Source organism: Homo sapiens, chromosome 5 (assembly GCF_000001405.40).
Source record: "Homo sapiens chromosome 5, GRCh38.p14 Primary Assembly".
NCBI lineage: Eukaryota > Metazoa > Chordata > Mammalia > Primates > Hominidae > Homo > Homo sapiens.
In genome coordinates this window covers 139,553,744-139,573,208 of record NC_000005.10, presented here as the reverse complement: position 1 = coordinate 139,573,208, position 19,465 = coordinate 139,553,744, and the positions used below count along the sequence as shown (strand labels likewise).

The following is a 19,465-nucleotide window of genomic DNA, read 5'->3' as shown; positions in this document are numbered from 1 at the left end:
TGCCTCAGCCTCCTGAGTAGCTGGGACTACAGGTGCCCACCACCACGTCTGGCTAATTTTTTTGTATTTTTAGTGGAGATGGGGTTTCACCATGTTAGCCAGGATGGTCTCGATCTCCTGACCTCATGATCTGCCCGTCTCGGCCTCCCAAAGAGCTGGGATTACAGGCATGAGCCACCGCGCCCAGCCTCATCTTGATAATTCTTAATAATTCTGTTTGTGACATTATTTTGATTATATATTTTAATTAATTTATCTGAGATCAGGTGGGGCATGGTGGCTCACACCTGCAATCCCAGCACATTGAAAGGCTTAGGCGGGTGGATCACTTGAGGCCAGGAGTTCAAGACCAGCCTGGTCAACATGGTGAAACCTGCTAAAAATACAAAAATCAGCCAGGCACGGTGGTGCATGCCTGTAATCCCAGCTTCTTTTCTTGGGAGGCTGAGGCAGGAGAATTGCTTGGGCCTGAGAGGCGGAGGTTGCAGTGAGCTGAGATCACGCCATTGCACTACAGCCTGGGCAACAGAGCAAGTCTCTGTCTCAAAAAAAAAAAAAAAAGAATAATAATTAATTTATCTGAGGTAATTTGTGCTGTCAATTTTTTTTTTTAAGAGACAGATCTCGCTCTGTGGCCCAAGCTGGAGTGCACTGGCATGATCACAGCTCACTGCAGCCTTAAACTCCTGGGCTCAAGCGATCCTCCTGTCTTGGCCTTTTGAGTAGCAGGGATTACAGGCACATGCCACTGCACCTAGCTAATTTAATTTTTTGTAGACACAGGGTCTTGCTATATTGCACAGGCTGGTATTGAACTCCTGAGCTCAAGTGATCCTCCTGCCTTGGCTTCCCAAAGTGCTGGGATTACAGGCATGAGCCACCATATCCAGCCAGTGCTCTCAATTTTAATACAAGTATGCATGATTTCATACACTTTGGCTTGTACTCCATCAACAATACTACTTTGATAAGCATTCTAATAAAGTTGGGAAACACCAGATATGAGGAAGAAGAAAGCAGTTTATCAGAAGCCAAAGGAACTGAATGAAAATCATGTCAACTATTACGAAAGTTAAATAAAAACTTAGGTATCCACTGAATGTGGCAATTAAGTAATCATTAGTGACCTTACTAAATAGTTCCAGAACAGTGAATAGACTATTCTTTCAAGAATTCTGGGACTGAAATGTCAGAGATGGGAAGGATAAAGATGAGGAAGGAAGTAGCTCTTATGGAAGAGGGAAGTTTAAAAAGTTATTTTACTGCTTTTTTTTTTTTTATAGGGGAAAACCTTCGATAAGTTTGGATGCTAAGAGGAGTTAGTGGAGAAGAGATTGGAAGTATGAAAACAAAGACAATTACCGGAGAGCAAAAACAAGAAAAGGAAAAAGGAAGGAAGGAGGGAGGAAGTGAGTGAGGGAAGGAGGAAGTGAGGGAGGGAGGGAGAGAAGGAAGGAAAGAGGGAAAGAGAGAGAGAGAAAAGGATGGAAAGCAAAAGTTAAGTTTGGCAAAGGGAAAAGTAAAGCTTCTCTAGAGATTAGAGGGGAGAAGGGCTATGACTAAAACAAGTAAATCTGGAGACACAATAGCTCTACAGTCAAGATCGCCTGTATCTGAATCCTAGTTCTTCCTACCATAACCATATAATGTTAGGCAAGTTTATTTCTCCCACTGTTTCCTTATCTAACCTGGGGAGAACAGAATTATTGAAAGATTATTGAAAAGATCAAGTAATTCCTGATGCACAGTGAGTACTCTAAAGTGGATAGCTGAAATCTGTGTTTGTTTTTTTTTTTTTTTTTGAGAGGGAGTCTTGCTCTGTCGCCCAGACTAGAGTACAGTGGCACGACCTCGGCACACTGCAACCTCCGCCTCTTGGGTTCAAGTGATTCTCCTGCCTCAGCCTCCCAAGTAGCTGGGATTACAGGTGCCCACCACTGTGCCTGGCTAATTTTTGTATTTTTAGTAGAGATGGGGTTTCACCATGTTGGCCAGGATGGTCTCGATCTCCTGACCTCACGATCCACCCGCCTCGGCCTCCCAAAGTGCTGGGATTACAGGCATGAGCCACCGCGCCCAGCCGATCTGTTGTTTTAATACCTTGAAGGAAATCCCTAACAACTCACACGTAAGATTTATATTTTCTCTGCAGAACAGGTACTCTGTTCATCTGCTGAGATTAAAATAATGTTTAAGGTGGAAGGACAGTGGTTTTTAGTCTTTTTAGAGATTAAAAACCCATTTGAGGCTGCTCTGCCTAGGGAGTAGCCATTCTTTATTCCTTTACTTTCCTAATAAACTTGCTTTCACTTAAAAAACAAAATCCATTTGACTCTGATGAAAGATATATGCAGAAAGCCGGGGGTGGTGGCTCATGCCTGTAATCCCAACACTTTGGGAGGCCAAGGCAGGTGGATCACTTGAGGTCAGGAGTTCCAAACCAGCCGAGGTGGGTGGATCACGAGGTCAGGAGATCGAGACCATCCTGGCTAACATAGTGAGACCCCATCTCTACTAAAAATACAAAAAATTAGCTGGGCATCATGGCACGCGCCTGTAGTCTCAGCTACTCTGGAGGCTGAAGCTGGAGAATTGCTTGAACTCAGGAGGCAGAGGTTGCAGTGAGCCGAGATCACACAACTGCACTCCAGCCTGGGCGTCAGAGCTAGACTCCATCTCAAATAAAAACAAAAAACAAAAATTAGCCGGGCGTGGTGGCATGCACCTGTGGTCCCAGCAACTTGGGAGGCTGAGGCAGGAGAATCTCTTGAACCTGGGAGGCAGAGGTTGCGGTGAGCCGAGATTGCACAACTGCACTTCAGCCTGGGCGACAGAGGTAGAGACTCCGTTTCGGGGGAAAAAAAGGCGGGGTGGTGGTGGTGGTGAGAATAGAACACCAAATTTGCAATAGTTGTTTTGTTGTTGTTGTTGTTGTTTTGACACAGAATCTGGCTCTGCTGCCCAGGCTGGAGTGCAGTGGTATGATCACAGCTCACCGTAGCCTTAACCTTTCATCCAGGCTCAAGTGATCCTCCTGTCTCAGCCTCCTGAGTAGCTAGGACTACAGGCACACATCACCATGCCCAGCTAATTTTGTTTCACTTTGTTTCGCTTTTGTAGAGACAGGGTCTCCCATTACAGACCAAGCTGGTCTTGAACTCCTAGGTACAAGCAATCCTCCCACCTTGGCCTCCCAGTGTTGGGATTACAGGCATGAGCCACTGTGTCAAGCCTAAATTTGCAGTTTCAAGCAGTATGAGCAACCTTGCCAATCATATAAAGGGAAGTTGAGGAAGATCTTCAGGTTCCAGGACACAGTTTAAATATCCAATTGTTTGAACAAAAGAAAAAAGGCTGCATCCTCTGGATTTATATACCTAACAGCTATGTAAGGATAACACATGGCTTGCCAGAAAATACACTGGACAGTCCAGAAATCCAGGTTCTCAATTCAGACCTACTCTTACCTGGTAGGTCACACGGCCTTTCCAGACAGCAGCCCTGAGATGTGCTGCAGTGCTAACATTTTATGATTCTATTACCCAAAATCTCACTTGACTCTGCAGACAGAAGAACAAACACTACTTTATTTCCCTATATTATAGTTTAACATGATTTTGAAGGTTTGCCTGGAAATCTAACCATCAAAACTTTATTTCTACAGACAAAACAAGTGTGTTTCTGCATTTCTGGGATGAGGCTGCAAAGGTTCCTGGTAGCATGAGGCATGAGTCAGATACTCCTATCCTGGGAACTGCCTAGGATATTTTAAGAGAAATATACAGAATTGGACCTTGTCAAAACCTCTTCCTTGTCAGTCATCAGTACAGTAATATACACTGGGAGACTTCAGAGAAAACCTAGATTTATTAACAGTTATCCTCGATGGCTGTTTGAATTATATTTAAATAACAATCTAGTAGAGCCAAAGAAAGTGCCTTAATTCAATGATCTTTTGTAAAGGAAATAAAAAATACTTTTTTAGTGGGGAAAAAAAAATTCCCAGAACTTATGTGAAGAAGCTCACCTTTTGGAGTAAGAAGGTATCCAAGATAGAACTATCCAAGATAGAACTAATTTAAATAGCCATATTCAGACAACCATTTATTAAAGTTCCCAATACTCCACAGGACTACCTGTTAATTCATCATTTTGATAGGAATTCAATCAGTCCTTACCTCTAATATTAATCTAATATATGGTACCACACCTCTAGTACAGTATTTTTTTTTCTTTTTTGAGACGGAGTCTTGCTCTGTTGCCCAAGCTGGACTGCAGTGGTGCGATCTCAGCTCACCACAACCTCCACCTCCCGGGTTCAAGCAACTCTCTGCCTTAGCCTCCCCAGTAACTGGGATCACAGGTGCTCACCACCATGCCCGGCTAATTTTTATATTTTTAGTAGAGACAGGGTTTCACCATCTTGACTAGGCTGGTATTGAACTCCTGACCTCGTGATCCACTCACCTCGGCATCCCAAAATGCTGGGATTACAGGCGTGAGTCACCGCGCCCGGCCTACAGTATTTTTTATTTTCATTTTTTTCTTTTTCTAGACAGAGTTTCGCTCTGTCGCCCAGGCTAGAATGCAGCGGCGCGATCTCCACTTACTGCAAGCTCTGCCTCCCGGTTCACGCCATTCTCCTGCCTCAGTCTCCCGAATAGCTGGGACTACAGGCACCTGCCACCACACTGACTAATTTTTTGTATTTTTAGTAGAGATGGGGTTTCACCGTGTTAGCCAGGATGGTCTCGATTTCCTGACCTTGTGATCCACCTGTCTTGGCCTCCCAAAGTGCTGGGATTACAGGCATGAGCCACAGCGCCCAGCCCGGCCTACAGTATTTTTAAGCAATTTTTTTTTTTTTGAGATGGAGTCTCGCTGTTGCAAAGGCTGGAGTGCAGTGGCGAGATCTTGGCTCACTGCAACCTCTGCCTCCCAGGTTCAAGCAACTCTCCTGCCTCAGCCTCCTGAGTAGCTGGGATTACAGGTGAGTGCCACCACACCTGGCTAATTTTTGTATTTTTAGTAGAGACAGGGTTTCACCATATTGGGCAGGCTGGTCTCGAACTCCTGACCTCAGGTGGTCGGCCCGCCTCAGCCTCCCAAAGTACTGGGGGATTACAGGCATAAGCCACCGCACCCAGCCTAAGCAATTTTTTAAAATACAGTACTGTTCAGCGTTACAACTACTTTCTTTAAGATCATGCTTCGGTAACTTCCCAATCTCAGACATTTTCAAAGTGTATTGTCAGTCTACAGAGAAACTCAAAACATGAAACAGATCATAATGGAAGAGTAATACATAAACTTCTACGGGATCAATGTATTTACAAAACTGGTTTTCCCAAGACCTCACACAAAACCATACAAAAGGCGGGGCACAGTGGCTCACGCCTGTAATCCCAGCACTTTGGGAGGTCGAGGCGGGTGGATCACTGGAGGTCAGGAGTTTGAGACCAGCTTGGCCAACATGGTGAAACCCCGTCTCTACTGAAAATACAAAAAGTAGCTGGGCATGGGGGTGCATGCCTGTAGTCCCAGCTACTCGGGAGACTGAGGCAGGAGAATGGCGTGAACCCAGGAGGCAGAGCTTGCAGTGAGCCGAGATTGTGCCACTGCACTCCAGCCTGGGCAACAGAGCGAGACTCTATCTCAAAAAAAAAAAAAAAAAAAAAACTTAGCAAATTGGCTGGGTGCAGTGGCTCATCCCTGTAATCCCAGCACTCTGGGAGGCCAAGGCGGGCAAATCACCTGAGGTCTCAAAAAAAAAAAGCAAGTTAATTAGAATTGTATTTAAAAACTACTTAAGGCCGGGCACGGTGTCTCATGCTTGTATTCCCAGCACTTTGGGAGGCCGAAGCAGGTGGATCACAAGGTCAGGAGTTCGAGACCAGCCTGGCCAATATGGTGAAACCCCGTCTCTACCAAAAATACAAAAATTAGCTGGGCGTGGTGGTGCGAGCTTGTAGTCTCAGCTGCTCGGGAGGCTGACGCAGGAGAATTGCTTGAACCTGGGAGGCGGAGGTTGCAGTGAGCCGAGATCATGCCACTGCACTCCAGCCTGGGCGACAGAGCAAGACTCCATCTCAAAAACAAACAAACAAGAAAACTTAATCTTACATAAAGCATTACTTTCAAACTTTTAAAAATACAGAAAGTATTGTTTAAATGACTTAATCTTTTTACACTCCTGATTACTTAATGAACCCCAATCCCTGGTTACTTTAATCCACATACTAAACTGATGTCGACCAAAAATGCGTATTTTGTTGTTCTTTTTTTTTTTAAGTTGAATCGGTTGCCAAAAAATCTGGATTTGTGGCTTCTCTTTTTTTTTTGAATGGAAGATATTGCAACACTGGGCCCACAGATTTTAGCAATAGCAACATTTGCAGGGAGCTGGTTAGCAGTTGCCCTCATCTGATAGCACATGCATTTTCTAGCTCCCTCAAGTTCTCTCTGCTCACTTTGGTACCTGCCTGGCTTTTATAGACATCAGAGTTTGAAATCTTTTTGTTTGTTTGTTTGTTTGAGACAGGGTCTCACTCTGTTGCATAGGCTGGAGTGTAGCGGCTTGATCACGGTTCACTGCAGCCTCTACCTCCCAGGCTCCCGAGATCCTCCCACCTCAGCCTCCCACCTAGCTGGGACTACAGCCATCCACCACCATACCCAGCTAATTTTTTGTATTTTTTGTAAAGACCATGTTTCGTCATGTTGCTCAGGCTGGTCTCGAACTCCTGAGCTCAAGCGATCTGCCCACCTGGGCCTCCCAAAGTGCTGGGATTACAGGCGTGACCCACTGTGCATGACCCACTGTGCATGACCTGAAATCTTTATTTCATTGAGAACTTTGTCTTGAGACGCCTTAAAAGAAGCTAGCCATAGGCCGGGCACAGTGGCTTACACCTGTAATCCCAACACTTTGGGAGGCCGAGACGGACGGATCTCCTGACGTCAGGAGTTCAAGACCAGCCTGGCCAACAGGGAGAAACCCTGTCTCTATTAAAAATACAAAAATTAGCTGGGCATGGTGGTGAGTGCCTGTAATCCCAGCTACTTGGGAGTCTGAGGCAAGAGAACTGCTTGACCCTGGGAGCCAGAGTTTGTAGTGAGCCAAGATCATGACACTGCACTCCAGCCTGAGCAAGACTGCCTCAAAAAAAAAAAAAAAGAAAGAAAAAAAATCTCTATCACAGAAATAGATCAAGTGATAATCCTGGCATTACTTTGTTTGAAAGCTATGTATGCCAAACGTTATCTGCAACTAGTAGGACACCATTAAAATGTACAATGCACTATTACTGTTAAGAAAAGCTTTTAGTATCCAACTCTGGTCAGTCTTCAACTCCTCAAAGAATCAAGATATTTATTTAGCCTTTTACCCTTCCCAAGAATAGAGAAATTAACCAAATACTTCAACATTACAGCACTCTAAGAGCACCAAAAAGCCTCCTACATCTGTATAGCAAAAGTAAAGAAGAAAAACAGGAAGCAAGTCAGAAAGGTCTCCGATCAGCCAAGGAAACCACACAGTTCACAGAGCACATGAAGCCCTCTTCAGTCAAGAGCCTACTGGATCTTATTTTAGACACAATTTTAATAAGCTCTGTGATCTGGTTTCTTAGCCCACAACAGATGAGATGCAGCCAACTGGAAAAGGGCTGGGGGTGGTGCTGCTAGAGGCAGGCACTCAAAGCATCAAAATCAAGGCTGAAGACCTAAAAAGTCAGCAGAAAACCTTAAAACATAGCAGGGTGGGGCCATGTGGTGTAGATACCAACAATCCCAAAGGATCCCAAGCCCTGCCCAGAACTACACACAATGTTCATAATGACCCTCTTTGCTATGCTCTGCTTATAGTATAGGTCAGGGGACCTTAAGATGTATATCAAAATAAAGTCCATCAAAAGCTTTTTCCAAAAAAGACATGGCATTTCAAAGACTGCCAAATTCACAGACATGAATAGCGTCCCTCTGTCAAAGAAACAAGATATTGAATTCCTGAAGATGTCACATGTCAAATGTAGTTTTTCTTAGAAAAATCTTATCAGAACCCAGATGTAGCAACTCATGACATTTAAGTCAAGAAGGTATTTAAGTAGAATTATTTTTTCAGGGAATGATAATTGGGAAGGTTCAAGATCAATTATAGAAGCCAAGCAATGGGGATTCCACTGCAGACACATTACTAGGACAGAAGATAAGATAGAACTGATCTTATCCATGCCTAGGAAGTCAGCTATTCAACTTAAAATTGTGGTACAAAGAGTTTGGAAAAAAAAAATTAATCTCCATTTTGTTTTCACAATCTTTTTGAGTGGTATACCAAAATAAACTTCATTTTTCTTATCACTAGCTGTCTCAGAGAAGTCAAGCCATACTTTGTGAAGAGCTCTAGGGAATAAACTAGGGGAAAATGGTTAATATTGAATTCTAAAAGTTCAGGCCAGGCCAGATGACGTGGCTCACATCTGCAATCCCAGCACTTTGGGAGGCCAAGGTGGCAGAACACTTGAGGTCAGGAGTTCAAGACCAGCCTGGCCAACATGGTGAAATCCCGTCTCTACTAAAAATACAAAAATTAGCTGGGCATGGCGGCGGAGTGCCTGTAATCCCAGCTACTCCGGAGGCTGAGGCAGGAGAATCGCTTGAACCCAGGAAGCGGAAGTTGCAGTGAGCCAGGATAGCACCACTGCACTCCAGCCTGGGCGACAGAGGGAGACTCCGTCTCCAAAAAAAAAAAAGTTCAGGCCGGGCACGGTAGCTCACGCCTATAATCCCAACACTTTGGGAGGCTGAGGCAGGTGGATCACCGGAGGTCAGGAACTAGAAATCAGCCTGGCCAACATGGTGAAACCCCGTTTCTACTAAAAACACAAAAATTAGACAGGTGTGGTGGTGCGTGCCTGTAATCCCAGCTACTCGGGAGGCTGAAGCAGAAAAATCACTTGAACCCAGGAGGTGGAGGTTGCGGTGAGCTGAGATCGTGCCATTGCATTCCAGCCTGGGCGACAAGACTGAAACTCTATCCCCCAAAAAAGTTCAAATTATTTCTAAACTTGATTTTATTAAAAAAATCTTACAAAGGCATATTTTAAGGAAAATCTATTCTAGAAAATATGTAGCAACTCATAAGAAACTATATTACCAGAGCAAGTATTATTAATTAAAACGTATGTTTTGTGTCAAAGAGATAGTTCCCTCTCTGAAAAAGTCCGTTACACATATAATTCAATGTAGAGATTAAAGTCTACATTTCTTTTTTTTTTGAAAGGGAGTCTCGCCTGTGGCCCAGGCTGGAGTGCAGTGGCGCGATCTCGGCTCACTGCAAGCTCCGCCTCCCCGGTTCACGTCATTCTCCTGCCTCAGCCTCCAGAGTAGCTGGGACTACAGGAACCCGCCACCAAGCCCGGCTAGTTTTTTTTGTATATTTTAGCAGAGACGGGGTTTCACCGTGTTAGCCAGGATGGCCTCGATCTCCTGATCTCGTGATCCACCCACCTCAGCCTCCCAAAGTGCTGGGATTACAGGCGTGAGCCACCGCGCCCGGCAGGTCTACATTTCTTTATCTGTAAATTATTACACATTATACCCACTTGCTCTTTCTCAGGTTATAAAATAAGAGGACAAGCTTCTACAGGTATTTGATAACTTCCCAGTTAGATTCTATAAGGACCTAGCAATTCCTAAAAGCCTTTAAAATACATATGTATATATTTTTTTTGGATGACTACTCCTCAGTGTGCTCCCCTGCCCCTTAAACGGTTCTTTAAGACATCTTTGCTTAAGGTTCAAGCTTCTTTATGGTATTTAACAAATACCATTTCATTTTAGTACAAGATTTATTGTCTAAAATCTGCCCTTCTTCATTTGTTAGAAATCAGAGTCAAAAGAAGTTAAGGAGCTAACCTAATTATAGTAACCAATGGGACTGATTCCACACTGTCTTTGAGCAAAAATGAAATGAGGACCAACCGCTGAGCTGAGGTGTTTAAATCATCAATCTGTATTCTGACTTAGTTTAAGACAAGCTAAAAACTGGTTCTCTTCCTCTTGCATCCCCATCCCATCATTCAGAATGGATAACCCCAGTACCTACTTCTAAGTAGCTACAGGTATAGGCCGTGTGCAGTGGCTGATTGATGCCTGTAATTCCAACACTTAAGGGAGGCAGAGACAGGAGGCTAGCTTGAGCCCAGGAGTTCCACACCAGCCTGGACAACACGGCAAGACCCCGTTCTCCACTAAAAGGAAAAAGATGTATTGAAGAAAAAAGTAGCTACCGGTTTAATATAGCCAATCTGAGTAGCCAAGTGAAACACCAAACAGAAATTAATAGTGGTGCCTCCCTACTTCTAAGAAAAAAAACATGAAAGTGGCACTAAGAGGTTACAACATCAGAAAGGGAAAAAAAATAAATTTTAAGCCAATCTTATAGTCTAGATGTATTATTAGGAAAACCTCCTTATTGATAACTAAATAACCCTTCACTTTAAAGAGCAAAGAAATCCTTTTTAATACAAAATCTAGTAAAACCCCTTCCCAGTTAAGAGTCTCGGTAAACATATCACCTAATAGCGTCAAGTCCATTTTGCGAAGAGGCTGTGAAAGGAACTTTTGTATAATTTCTCTGGTGGTTTTCAATGTTCAGGTTTCTACCTCTACCTTTGCCAATGTACAGCTTTTCTATTAGATCCAATCCTGCAAAACGGAAGTGTTAGTTTCTAACTACATACAGCAACCTCAAGGAATAAAATGATTCTCCCTCTACTTCCCTCCTCCCTCATTAAGTCACCTTTTTTTTTTCTTCTGAACTTCCAACTCTTAACAGTTTCTGGACAAGCAGGGTGGACCGATGTGTGCTGCCACCCAAGAGGTAAGTGAACTCAGGATATACTTGTGGATCGGGCAAAACGGCTTCCTCTGTCAGCCCGAGCTCAGGCGGTTTTGTGGAGGGAGCTAGGGCAGGTGTGGGAGGAGGGAACAGAAATGGGGCGAGAAGCCCTTTCGACCTCTGTCGAAGGGGCCGCCCAACGCCCCAGCGCCCCCCTCGGCCCCAACCCCGCCATCCTGGCCCGACAATGGCCCTCAAGTGCAGCGGCAGTCCCAGACTGGAGAGAAGCCCTAAGAGTCCACACCATGCGGGCCTGGAAGGGCAGCCGGGGAGGAACGCTGAGGCCGCGAGAGCACCTCCGGCCTAAGCGCGGGCTGCGCGCCGGGGCCTCCACGGGCGCCATCACTGGGAGTGGGGTATGGAGGCCGCCCCGAGGGGCCAGCACCGGCAGCAAGATCCAAGGAGGCCGCGAGCCCGACGGAGACTACGGCGGGAAGTGCAGGCCGCAGCCTGCTCAGCTGGCCAGCAGCGCAGCCGACCTCCGGCCGCTTACCTTGTGGATTCTCTTCAGAGCCATGGTGGGAGGCGGGTGGCGGCGGCCCCCGGGGCGGGGACGGGGGCGGGGAAGGGACGGGGAAGGGGCTAGGGAGCCTGAGGCCGCCTCGGCGATCTCGGTCGGCAGGAGAAGATGGAGAGTTGAGGAAAGCGGGTCCGGCGGGACGGGCTGAGGGCCGGGGCCCACTCAGCTCCTGGGCCTGCCGCAGCGGTCACCGCATCACCCGGCGGCGGCCCCTTTATTCGCCGCCGCCCTAGCCGCCACCGCCGCCGCCGCCGTAGCTGCCTCTTCCTCCCAGGATCAGCGCCGCCTCCTAAACCGCCGCAGATCCCTCCGCCAGAAAGCAAAAGCCCAAGCCTCGGGCTCGGCCGGCCTCTCTTGGTCGGACAGCCGGAGGGATTGCCTGTCTTCCTCCCTGCTGCAGGTGGACCGAGGGACGCGCGGGCGGGCGGGCTGCGCCGCCGGGGTGGGGCCGTCGGAGCACGGGGTGGGCCCGACCGAGGGGCAGGTCGGGAGGCGCGGGGATTGGCGGGCCAGGGGAGGGAGGGCCGAGCCGCGCCGGCGGCGGAGGGATACGGGCCGCCCCTGTGAGTAAGCTACGCACCGCCGTCGCCGCCACGGCCCCGGAGGGCGTGACGCTGCGAAGCCCTGGGCGGAGATCTCGCGAGATCTAGAGCGCGAGTTCTGCAGGCTCCAGCGCCGCGACCGTTGACTTCATTGCTGATGGAAACCCACGCGCGTGTCACAAAAGATCAATAAATATTAAAAGGCGAATGTTGTCCAGATCTCACGACCGTCCCCGTACTAGTCCCGGGAGGAGGCACTTAGGCCCACTGCAGCGCTCCTGAAGGAGGAAGGGACTTGGCCAAGGTCACAGAGCTCTTCTGAAGTCCTGGGACTTAGCACATCTCTTTCCAGAGGCCGCGTGGCTACAGCTCGGGCACCTGCCACGAGGGAGATGTCTCATAGCCGCTCGGGTTGCAGTGAGATTGGCCTTCCGGACCAAGGCCCCAGATGGAGAGGATTTGAATGTTGTGTTCTCAGCCACTGGCATGTATGTGTGCCTTCGAGGTGTCCAGACTCTGCTCAGCTTAGTGAATTGCAAATTGTTACAAGCAAGCACTGTACCAGCTGCGTCAGAAAAAAAATCACAGTGTGTGCCCCAAATAGTTAAAACCAACGGCTGGGCGCGGTGACTCACCCCTGTAATCTCAGCACTTTGGGAGGCTGAGGCTGGCGCATCACCTGAGGTCAAGAGTTCGAGACCAGCCTGGCCAACATGGTGAAACCCCATCTCTACTAAAAATACAAAAATTAGGCCGGGCACGGTCACTCACGCCTGTAATCCCAGCACTTTGGGAGGCCAAGGCAGGCGGATCACGAGGTCAGGAATTCGAGACCAGCCTGGCCAACACAGTGAAACCCCTTCTGTACTAAATATACAAAAATTACCCGGGCATGGTGGCAGGCGCCTGTAGTCCCAGCTACTCGGGAGGCTGAGGCAGGAGAATCGCTTGAATCCGGGAGGCGGAGGTTGCCGTGAGCCGAGATCACGCCAGTTCACTCCAGCCTAGGCAACAGCAAGAATGCGTCTCAAAAAAAAAAAAAAAAAATAGCCGAGAGTGGTGGCAGGTTCCTGTAAACCCAGCTACTGGGGAGGCTGAGGCAGGAGAATCGCTGGAACCCAGGAGGCAGAGGTTGCAGTGAGCCGAGAGCACGCCATTGCACTCCAGCCTGGGCGACGAGCAAAACTCCATCTCCAAAAAAAAAAAAAAAACCAACCTCGTGCTCCAGATACCCATCAGGAGGGTCCGCTGAAAATCAAACCTAGAATATTTGGAATTGTTTTTTAGGAGATGGAGACAAAAAGCTAAATCACTGAGCACCTACCCTGTGCCCAGCCCTACACCATGACTGGTGTGAGATACGGAGCCAAGCCAGGGCTAGAGGCCTTACACAGGAGAATAGTAAAGAATATTTTGCTGGGAGGTAATGCCCACATTCTGAAATCTACCCCTGGCGTTTTCTGATTCTAAATGTCTCCTTTTCGCTACATCCAGAAAGGACCTTGCAGATCATTGATTCTAGCTCCTGAATTTATAGAGAAGAAAAAACTGGAGCCCAACTAAGGGAAGGATCTTGCCAAAAGCCACACAGTAGGTGAGTGGCAAAGCTCATACTGCCTCACCTACTGAGAAGGTTGGACCATTAGGACAGAAGCACCGTGCACCCAGTGAGAGAAAATTGTATCCAGTGGTTCAGGGTGGGTATAGTTGAGGTTGAGGGTAAAATGGAACATCTCACAGCCCCAGATATTTTCTTCCTAAGAAATGTGATGGGAGGGGTACAAAAATCTCCACTGGACAGATTTCTTTTTTTTTTTTTTTGAGACGGAGTCTCACTCTGTCGCCCAGGCTGGAGTGCGGTGACGCTATCTCGGCTCACTGCAAGCTCTTCTCCCGGGTTCAGGCCATTCTCCCGCCTCAGCCTCCCGAGTAGCTGGGACTACAGGCACCTGCAAGCACGCCCGGGTAATTTTTTTGTATTTTTAGTAGAAACGGGATTTCACCTTGTTATCCAGGATGGTCTCAATCTCCTGACCTCGTGATCCGCCCGCCTCGGCCTCCCAAAGTGCTGGGATTACAGGCGTGAGCCACCGCGCCCGGCCGACAGATTTTTTTTTTAAAGTTATTCTCAGTAATAACTTTTGTATTAGAAAAGCTCCTGGACACGCCTGTAATCTCAGTAATTTGGGAAGCTGAGGCGGGAAGATCACTTGAACTCAGGAGTTCCAGACCAGCCTGGGCAATATAGAGACTTCATCTCTACAGAAGATTGTAAAAATTAGCCAGGTATGGTAGCACGCACCTGTGGTCCCAGCTACTTGGGAGGCTGAGGTGGGGAGGATAGCTTGAGCCTGGGTGGTCAAAACTGCAGTGAGCCGTGGTGGTTCCACTGCACCTCAGGTGTGGTGAAAGAGCAAGATCCTCTCTTAAAAAAAAAGCAATATGTATTTGTTGTAAGACATACCTATAAGTAAAGGAAGGAAATAAAAGTCACCCACACTCTCATCATCCAATAATTAACCACTTTTGACATTTGGTTAATGTCCTTCTAGTCTTTTTTTCCCTTACATATAAATATCAATACATATTTTTCTTTGAAAAATGTGGGGTCATTGCATAATACTGTTTGGTAATCTACCTTGAAAATAAACAATATATTGGCTGGGCGCGGTGGCTCACGCCTGTAATCCCAACACTTTGGGAGGCCGAGGCGGGCGGATCACGAGGTCAGGAGATCAAGACCATCCAGGCTAACACGGTGAAACCCCGTCTCTACCAAAAATACAAAAAATTAGCCGGGCTTGGTTGGCGGGCGCCTGTAGTCCCAGCTACTCAGGAGGCTGAGGCAGGAGAATGGCGTGAACCCGGGAAGCAGAGCTTGCAGTGAGCTGAGATCGCGCCACTGCACTCCAGTCTGGGCAACAGAGCAAGACTCTGTCTCAAAAAACAAATAAGAAAATAAACAATATATCGTGAATTTTCCTGTTTCAAATATTTCTACCTTATTTTAATGGCTTTGTATTCTAGCATATAAATGTACCATATTTATTTAACTGGTCACATTTTGGGGAACATTTGTTTCCCATTTTTACTATTAAAATAATGCTGTGGTAAATATCCTAGCTATCCTATAGTTCATCTTTTTTCTTTTTTTTTCTTGAGATGGGGTCACTGTCTCTCCCTCAGGCTGGAGTGCAGTGGTACACGTCAGCCTCCAACTCCTGGCTCAAGTGATCTTCCCACTTCAGCCCGCTGAGTAGCTGGAACTATAAGCTGGAGCCACCATGCCTGGCTAATTTTTATTTATTTTTTGTAGAAACAGGATCTTTTTTTAAAAAAAATCATATGACTCTTCTTGATAAACAGACTCTTAATCTTTATACAGCTCTAAGAGTGCCTTAGGATAAACTCCTAGAAATGAAACTGCAGCATTAACAGATATGCAGATTTTTGCATCTGTGTTCATGAGGGATATTGGTTTGTTTGTTTATTTATTTATTGAGACAGACTCTCACTCTATTGCCGAGCCTGGAGTGCAGTGGTGCGATCTCGGCTCACTGCAGTCTCCGTCTCCGGGTTCAAGTGATTCTCCTGCCTTAGCCTCCCAAGTAGCTGGGATACAGGTGTGCACCACAACGCCTGGCTAATTTTTGTATTTTTTAGTAGAGACAGGGTTTCACCATGTAGGCCAGGCTGGTCTCGAACTCCAGACCTCAGATGATCTGCCCGCCTCGGCCTCCCAAACTGCTGGGATTGCAGGTGTGAGCCATTGCGTCCAGCTGGGATATTGATTTATAATTTTCTTTTTTTGTAATATCTTCACCAAATTTTCATATCAAGGTTCAGCACTTGGGGAAGCCGAGGCTGGTGAATCACCTGAGGTCAGGAGTTCAAGACTGACCTGGCCAACATGGTGAAACATGTCTCTACTAAAAAAAAATACAAAATTAGCCAGGCGTGGTGGTGCTGCCTTTAATCCCAGCTACTTGGGAGGCTGAGGCAGGAGAATCACTTGAACCCGGGAGGCGGAGGTTGCAGTGAGTCGAGATTGCACCATTGCACTCCAGCCTGGGCAACAAGAGCAAAACTCAGTCTCAAAAAAGAAATAAAAGTTGGCTGGGCACAGTGACTCATACCTGTAATCCCAGCACTTTGGGAGGCCGAGGCAGGCAGATCACAAGGTCAGGAGTTCAAGACCAGCCTGGCCAACATGATGAAACCCCGTCTCTACTAAAAATACAAAAATTAGCTGGGCATGGTGGTGAGCGCCTGTAATCCCAGCTACTCAGGAGGCTGAGGCAGGAGAATTGCTTGAACCCGGGAGGCAGAGGTTGCAGTGAGACGAGATTGCGCCACTGCACTCCAGCCTGGGCGACAAAGCAAGACTATGTTGCAGAAAAAAAAAAAAAAAGTATGGAACTATTCAGATTTTCTTTTTCTTCTTGTGTCAATTGTGATAATTTGTGTTTTTCAAGGAATTTGTTCATTTATGTTGTCCAATTTATTAGAATAAAGTTACTCATAATATCCTTTTATTTTTCCTTTTATTAGGTTAATGGGCAAAACTGCCATTACTTTTGCAGCAACCTAATACTATCTGTAGCATCCATTGTGATGTCCCTTTGTATTTCTGATGTTGGTAATGTGTGCCTTCTCTATTTTTTCCTTGATAAATATAGCAAGGGATTTATCAATTCTCCTAAAGAACAAAATTTTGTCCTTATTTGTTGTTCAATCCATTTTCTATTTTATTGATTTCTTCTGTTATTTCTACCTACTTTAATTTGTTATTTTTCTAGCTTCCTTTTTTTTTTAAGTTTATTTGTTTACTTATTTTTGAGACAGAGCCTTGCTCTGTTGCCCAGGCTGGAGTACAGTGGCAGAGATCTCAGCTCACTGCAACCTCCACCTCCCGGGTTCAGGTGATTCTGCCTCAGCCTCCCAAGTAGCTGGGATTACAGGCATGCACCACCACGCCCAGCTAATGTTTGATTTCTTTTTTTTTTTTTTGAGATGGAGTTTTGCCCTTGTTGCCCTGGCTGGAGTGCAATGGCACGATCTCAGCTCACCGCAATCTCTACCTCCCGAGCTCAAGTGATTTTCCTTCCTCAGCCTCCCGAGTAGCTGGGATTACAGGCATGTGCCACCATGCCCAGATGATTTTGTATTTTTAGTAGAGACGGGGTTTCTCCATGTTGGTCAGGCTGGTCTCAAAATCCTGACCTCAGGTGATCCGCCCACCTCAGCCTCCCGAAGTGCTGGGATTACAGGTGTGAGCCACCGTGCCTGGCCTTTTTTTTTTTTTTTTTTTTTTTTTTTTTTGAGATGGAGTCTTCCTTTGTCACCAGGCTGGAGTGCAGTGGCGTGATCTCAGCTCACTGCAACCTCTGCCTCCCGGGTTCAAGCGATTCTCCTGCCTCAGCCTCCCAAGTAGCTGGGACTACAGGCATGTGCCACCATCCCCAGCTAATATTTGTATTTTAGTAGACACAGGGTTTCACCATGTTGGCCAGGATGATCTCTATCTCTTGACCTCGTGATCCCTGCCCACCTCGGCCTCCCAAAGTGCTGGGATTACAGGCATGAGCCAGCACATCTGGCCGTTTTTCTAGATTCTTAAAGTAGGAGTTTAGATGACCAATTTTATAATTTTCTTTTTTCCTGATAAAAGCACTTTCCAGTAAAAGCACACTGCTTTGCCACACGCTACAAGTTTGATATGTTGGGTTTTCATTTTTATTCAGTTCAATGTTTTTCTAATTTTCCTTGGAATTTATTCTTTGATCAAGTGTTATTTTCAAATTATTTCCAAATAATTTTCAAATTATTTTCAAATAATTTCAAATAATTTTCAAATAATGTTAAAATTATTTGGAATTCATTAATCATCAAGGAAATGCAAGTTAGGCCGGGTGCAGTGACTCACACCTTTAATCCCAACACTTTGGGAGGCCAAGGTGGGTGGATCACTTGACCTCAGGAGTTCGAGACCAGCCTGGGCAGTGAAACCCAGCCTCTACAAAAAATACAAAAATTAGCCAGGTGTGGTGGCACATGCCTGTAGTCCCAGCTACTTCAGGGGCTGAGGCAGGAGAATCGCTTGAACCTGGGACGCAGAAGTTGCAGTTAGCCAAGATTGTGCCATTGCACTCCAGCCTGGGTGACAGAGTGAGACCCTGTCTCAAAAAAAAAAAACAAAAAACAAAAAAAAATAAGAGGAAATGCAAGTTAAAGTCACAATGAGCGGCTAATATGAATGATGTGATGTTTACAACTAATTGATCACAACCAGTTACAGATTTCTTTGTCCCTTTTCCGTGCCCACTGCTTCACCTGACTAGCCTTAAAAAAAAAAATCACGATATCATTTCATACCCACTAGAATGGCTAAAATAAAAAACATTGACAGAAATAAATGGTGACAAGGATGTACAGCAATTGGAACTCTCATACATTGCAAGTGGGGATGTAAAATGGTATAATCAGTTAGGAGAACTGTTTGGTGATTTCTTATTAAGTTAAACATGCATCTACCATATGACGCAGCCGTTCTACTCTTTGGTATGCAAGAAAAATGAAAATATATGTCCCCAAAAAGAGTTGTACACAAATATTTATAGCAGCCTTTTTTGTATATAGTCCAAAACTAGAGACAGCCCAAGTATCCATCCACAGGAGGATGGAATAACACATTATGACACATTCAAACAATGGAACACTGCTCAACACCAACAACAGGTCAAACTATTGATACACTCAACATGGGTGGATCTCAAAATGATAAGCAAAACAAAAACAGAATATGGGCTGTATGATTCCATTAAATGAAGTTCAAAAACAGACAAAACGAATTTTTGTTGTGTGAAGTCAGGTGGTGACTTTGGCGAGATGATTTGTCAGGGAAAGAGTCAGAGCCCTGGCACAGTGGCACGTGCCTGTGGTCCCAGCCACTCGGGAGGCTGAGGTGGGAGGATCACCTGAGCCCAGGAGTTTGAAGCCAGCCTAGGCAACACAATGAGACCCCATTCTCAGTATTATTCTGTCTGCATGAGCCTTTAAAAAAAAAATGCGATCAAGGAAATTCTTTAGGGTAATGGAAATGTTCTTTCTATTGTTTTGGTTGGAGGTTATACAAGTTTATACAATTGTCAAAACTCATGGAACCTTGGCCGGGCGTGGTGGCTCATGCCTGTAATCCCAGCACTCTGGGAGGCTGAGGCAGGCAGATCACCTGAGGTCAGAAGTTCAAGACCAGCCTGGCCAACATGGTGAAACCCCATCTCTACTAAAAATATAAAAATTAGCCAGGCGTGGTGGCGGGCACCTGTAGTCCCAGCTACTTAGGAGGCTGAGGCACGAGAATCGCTTAAACCTGGGAGGCAGAGGTTGCAGTGAGCCAAGATCGCGCCTCTGCAGCCCAGCCTGGGTGACAGAGTAAGATTCCATCTCAAAAAATTTAAATAAATAAATAAATAACTCATGGAACCAAACATTAAAGATTTA

The 19,465-nt window shown here is 46.1% G+C and overlaps 1 protein-coding gene across 3 annotated transcripts in view, besides 7 other annotated features; it reads right to left on the bottom strand.

Annotated features, from left to right (window-relative positions):
- Window positions 1–19,465, bottom strand: part of UBE2D2 (ubiquitin conjugating enzyme E2 D2) — a 102,195-nt gene that overhangs the window by 55,226 nt on the left and 27,504 nt on the right. Inside the window, exons 1-2 of one of the 3 annotated variants that reach the window (NM_181838.2) lie at window positions 11,394–11,870; window positions 10,802–10,965 (exon numbers count right to left, since the gene is read on the bottom strand). The exons of 1 other annotated variant lie outside the window; for it this stretch is intronic. Coding sequence is in view for 1 of the 2 variants with exons in the window: in NM_003339.3 (NP_003330.1) it covers window positions 11,394–11,417 (24 nt within the window). In the remaining variant the exon portion in view is untranslated. Of the gene's footprint in view, window positions 1–10,801; window positions 10,966–11,393; window positions 11,871–19,465 lie in introns of those variants that run through there. One more of the 3 variants, NM_003339.3, reaches the window with a different exon arrangement.
- Window positions 4,710–5,211: an enhancer, noted in NCBI's record as "H3K4me1 hESC enhancer chr5:138947583-138948084 (GRCh37/hg19 assembly coordinates)". NCBI's record gives its function as "activates a minimal SCP1, AML or CMV promoter by ChIP-STARR-seq in primed H9 embryonic stem cells {active_cell/tissue: H9 hESC(primed)}" and the evidence as "EXISTENCE:reporter gene assay evidence [ECO:0000049][PMID:30033119]".
- Window positions 7,475–7,614: an enhancer, noted in NCBI's record as "active region_23243". NCBI's record gives its function as "activates an Ori minimal core promoter by ATAC-STARR-seq in GM12878 lymphoblastoid cells {active_cell/tissue: GM12878}" and the evidence as "EXISTENCE:reporter gene assay evidence [ECO:0000049][PMID:35858748]".
- Window positions 7,805–7,904: an enhancer, noted in NCBI's record as "active region_23242". NCBI's record gives its function as "activates an Ori minimal core promoter by ATAC-STARR-seq in GM12878 lymphoblastoid cells {active_cell/tissue: GM12878}" and the evidence as "EXISTENCE:reporter gene assay evidence [ECO:0000049][PMID:35858748]".
- Window positions 10,705–10,824: an enhancer, noted in NCBI's record as "active region_23241". NCBI's record gives its function as "activates an Ori minimal core promoter by ATAC-STARR-seq in GM12878 lymphoblastoid cells {active_cell/tissue: GM12878}" and the evidence as "EXISTENCE:reporter gene assay evidence [ECO:0000049][PMID:35858748]".
- Window positions 10,915–10,964: an enhancer, noted in NCBI's record as "active region_23240". NCBI's record gives its function as "activates an Ori minimal core promoter by ATAC-STARR-seq in GM12878 lymphoblastoid cells {active_cell/tissue: GM12878}" and the evidence as "EXISTENCE:reporter gene assay evidence [ECO:0000049][PMID:35858748]".
- Window positions 11,435–12,094: a silencer, noted in NCBI's record as "silent region_16415". NCBI's record gives its function as "represses an Ori minimal core promoter by ATAC-STARR-seq in GM12878 lymphoblastoid cells {active_cell/tissue: GM12878}" and the evidence as "EXISTENCE:reporter gene assay evidence [ECO:0000049][PMID:35858748]".
- Window positions 12,125–12,294: an enhancer, noted in NCBI's record as "active region_23239". NCBI's record gives its function as "activates an Ori minimal core promoter by ATAC-STARR-seq in GM12878 lymphoblastoid cells {active_cell/tissue: GM12878}" and the evidence as "EXISTENCE:reporter gene assay evidence [ECO:0000049][PMID:35858748]".